This window comes from Homo sapiens, chromosome 16 (genome assembly GCF_000001405.40).
Source record: "Homo sapiens chromosome 16, GRCh38.p14 Primary Assembly".
Classification (NCBI taxonomy): Eukaryota; Metazoa; Chordata; class Mammalia; order Primates; family Hominidae; genus Homo; species Homo sapiens.
Genome location: NC_000016.10, coordinates 70,451,942 through 70,454,594, shown reverse-complemented (window position 1 = coordinate 70,454,594; position 2,653 = coordinate 70,451,942). Strand labels below are relative to the sequence as shown.

Sequence of the window (2,653 nt, the reverse complement as noted above, 5' to 3'; positions counted from 1 at the left end):
AACGCGAGGCTGCGCGACCCTCGCGGTGCACTCCGGGAAGTGTAGTTTCACCTCCGCGCCCCCCCAAGGCCGAGCCCCCGTCCGGCAAAAAACACGGTCGGAGCCACCGCATAGGCCAGCGTGGGTGGCCGGGGCAGCGCTTTCCTGAAGGGCAGCGGGGCTGCAATCCAGAAGGGAGATGGGAAGGGGGCCGCTCCAGGACCCACGAAACTACAACTCCCAGAGGACCGAAGCGCCTTAAAGACAGAGGCCCGTTTTCTGGGACTCCGGGATCCAGGTTAATAGGTTAATGTGTAGCTTTTTTGTTTGTTTTCTCGTTTGGGTTTTTTTTTTTTTTTTTTTTTAACACCTTCTGGACGGCACCAGGAGCTTCCGCTTTCCTCTGGAGAAAAATCCACTGATGGAGGAAAAAAAAAAATCACGCTTTGCCCAAGCGGAAGCAGCTGCCATTCGATTTGCAGTTGGAAAGGTTTGCGCTGGTTTCATCACGTGGATCCTTTGGGAAGAAACTTTCCAACTCCGTAATGGGGAGGGGATCTGCGGACCTTTTGGGAAAGTTGTGAATGGCAGCATTGATTGTCATAGATGACAATTGGAAATACTCTGAGTGTCTCTCTCTAGGTTACTATGTGAAAGGAAAATAAATCTCAGGACCCCAAAGTCACTAAGTCAAAGGGAAAAGTCAAGCTGAGAACTGCATCAGGGAAACCTACCTCCCATTTTATTCTTAAACAAGATAACTACAAAGATAAAAAAGCTAGATATGGCCTGGCCCTCACAACTTGCCCACTAGGAAATTCCTTGTGTGCCCCCAAATCTGTACCCTAAAACAGTTGTGTGGAATTTCAGTGACAATGTAAATTTATAGCTTATCTTCACAGGTGCTGGGCTTTGACAGCACTGAAAGTCATCTCTCAGCTCACCTGAGACAAATGCATATCTCATTGCTTCCTCTGCCCTATGTTTATTTTTTCTTATGTAAAAATGCATATTCACTGAGCTAGATGAATGCATAAGTGACTAGTCCTCTATCCCCCTCTAACATGTGAAAGGCTTATCAAAGACTCAGAAGAATGCAGCCATTTGCCTCTTACCTACCCATGCCTTTTAAAAATTTCCTCTTTCAGGCCAGGCACGGTGGCTCGCACCTGTAGTCCCAGCCCTTTGGTGAGGCCGAGGCGGGTGGATCATGAGGTCGGGAGTTGAAGACCAGCCTGGCCAATATGGTGAAACCCCGTCTACTAAAAATACAAAAATTAGCTGAGCGTGGTGGCGCGCACCTGTAGTCCCAGCAGCTTGGGAGGCTGAGGAAGGAGAATCGCTTGAACCCGGGAGGCAGAGGTTGCAGTGAGCTGAGATTGCACCACTGCACTCCAGCCTGGGCAACACAGTGAGGCCCTGTCTAAAAAAAAAAAAAAAATTCCTCTTTCCCCAATATCTGACCTTTCCCCTTTAAATATTGAAGCCCTCAAAATCATCTTTGGAGAAAGGTACAGACCTGTCTCCCAGGTGCACACATTCTTAACTTTGGCAAAATAAACTTGTAAATTGATTGAGACCAGTATCTGGTGCTTTTTGGTTTACAACTGGAAAACTAAACTAGGCACATCCATGCAAGACAGATGCTCTATATGTTCAGTAGGGAGTGATGTTCAGGACATCATGTTAAGGGAAAAGCAGCAAGTTGTAGAGCAATATGTATGGGAAGCCCCTCAAATAAAAAATAATGTTTATGGACAGATAGTGTGTGGATACACAGGAACAGGGCTGGAAGCGAACGCATGCTAGGGAGAGACTGCTAAGCATGGGGACAAGCGGGGAGAACTTGAGCTTTATCTGTATTGTTTGAATTTTTCTTACAAGAATGTACTTTCCAAATCTGTTGTTAATAAGGAGCCTAAAGCTGGGCACAGGTGCTCACGCCTGTAATCCCAACACTTTGGGAGGCCAAGGTGGGAGGATGGCTTGAGCTTGGGAGTTTGAGACCAGCCTGGGCAACATAGCAAGACCCCGTCTCTAAAATATATATAAATTAGGGCCGGACGAAGTGGCTCATGCCTGTAATCCCAGCACTCTGGGAGGCCAAGGCAGGCAGAAAACTCGGGGTCAGGAATTCAAGATGAGCCTGGCCAATTTTTTTGTTATTGTTGTTGTGAGACAGAGTCTCACTCTGTTGCCCAGGCTGGAGTACAGTGGTGTGATCTCGGCTCACTGCAACCTCCGCCTCCCAGGTTCAAGTGATTCTCTTGCCTCAGCCTCCTGAGTAGCTGGGATTACAAGCATGTGCCACCACGCCCAGCTAATTTTTGTATTTTTAGTAGAGACGGGGTTTCACCATGTTCAGGCTGGTCTCCAACTCCTGACCTCAGGTGATCCACCCACCTCGGCCTCCCAAAGCGTTGGGAGTACAAGCGTGAGCCACCGTGCCCAGTCAGTGGCCAATTTTTTTTTTTTTTTTTTTTTTGAGATGGAGTCTCACTCTGTCTCCCAGGCTGGAGTGCAGTAGCACCATTTCGGCTCACTGCAAGCTCTGCCTCCCAGGTTCATGACATTCTCCTGCCTCAGCCTCCTGAGTAGCTGGGACTACAGGCACCCGCCACCACGCCCAGCTAGTTTTTTGTACTTTTAGTGGAGACGGGGGTTTCACCGTGTT

The 2,653-nt window shown here is 48.4% G+C and overlaps 1 long non-coding RNA gene across 1 annotated transcript; it reads left to right on the top strand.

The window, feature by feature from the left end:
* The first annotated feature begins 58 nt into the window (after positions 1 to 58).
* Positions 59 to 1,558, top strand: LOC124903708 (uncharacterized). Its single transcript, XR_007065104.1, has 2 exons — positions 59 to 277; positions 1,128 to 1,558. It is a non-coding gene; the product is annotated as an uncharacterized LOC124903708 (long non-coding RNA).
* The last annotated feature ends 1,095 nt before the right edge of the window (positions 1,559 to 2,653 follow it).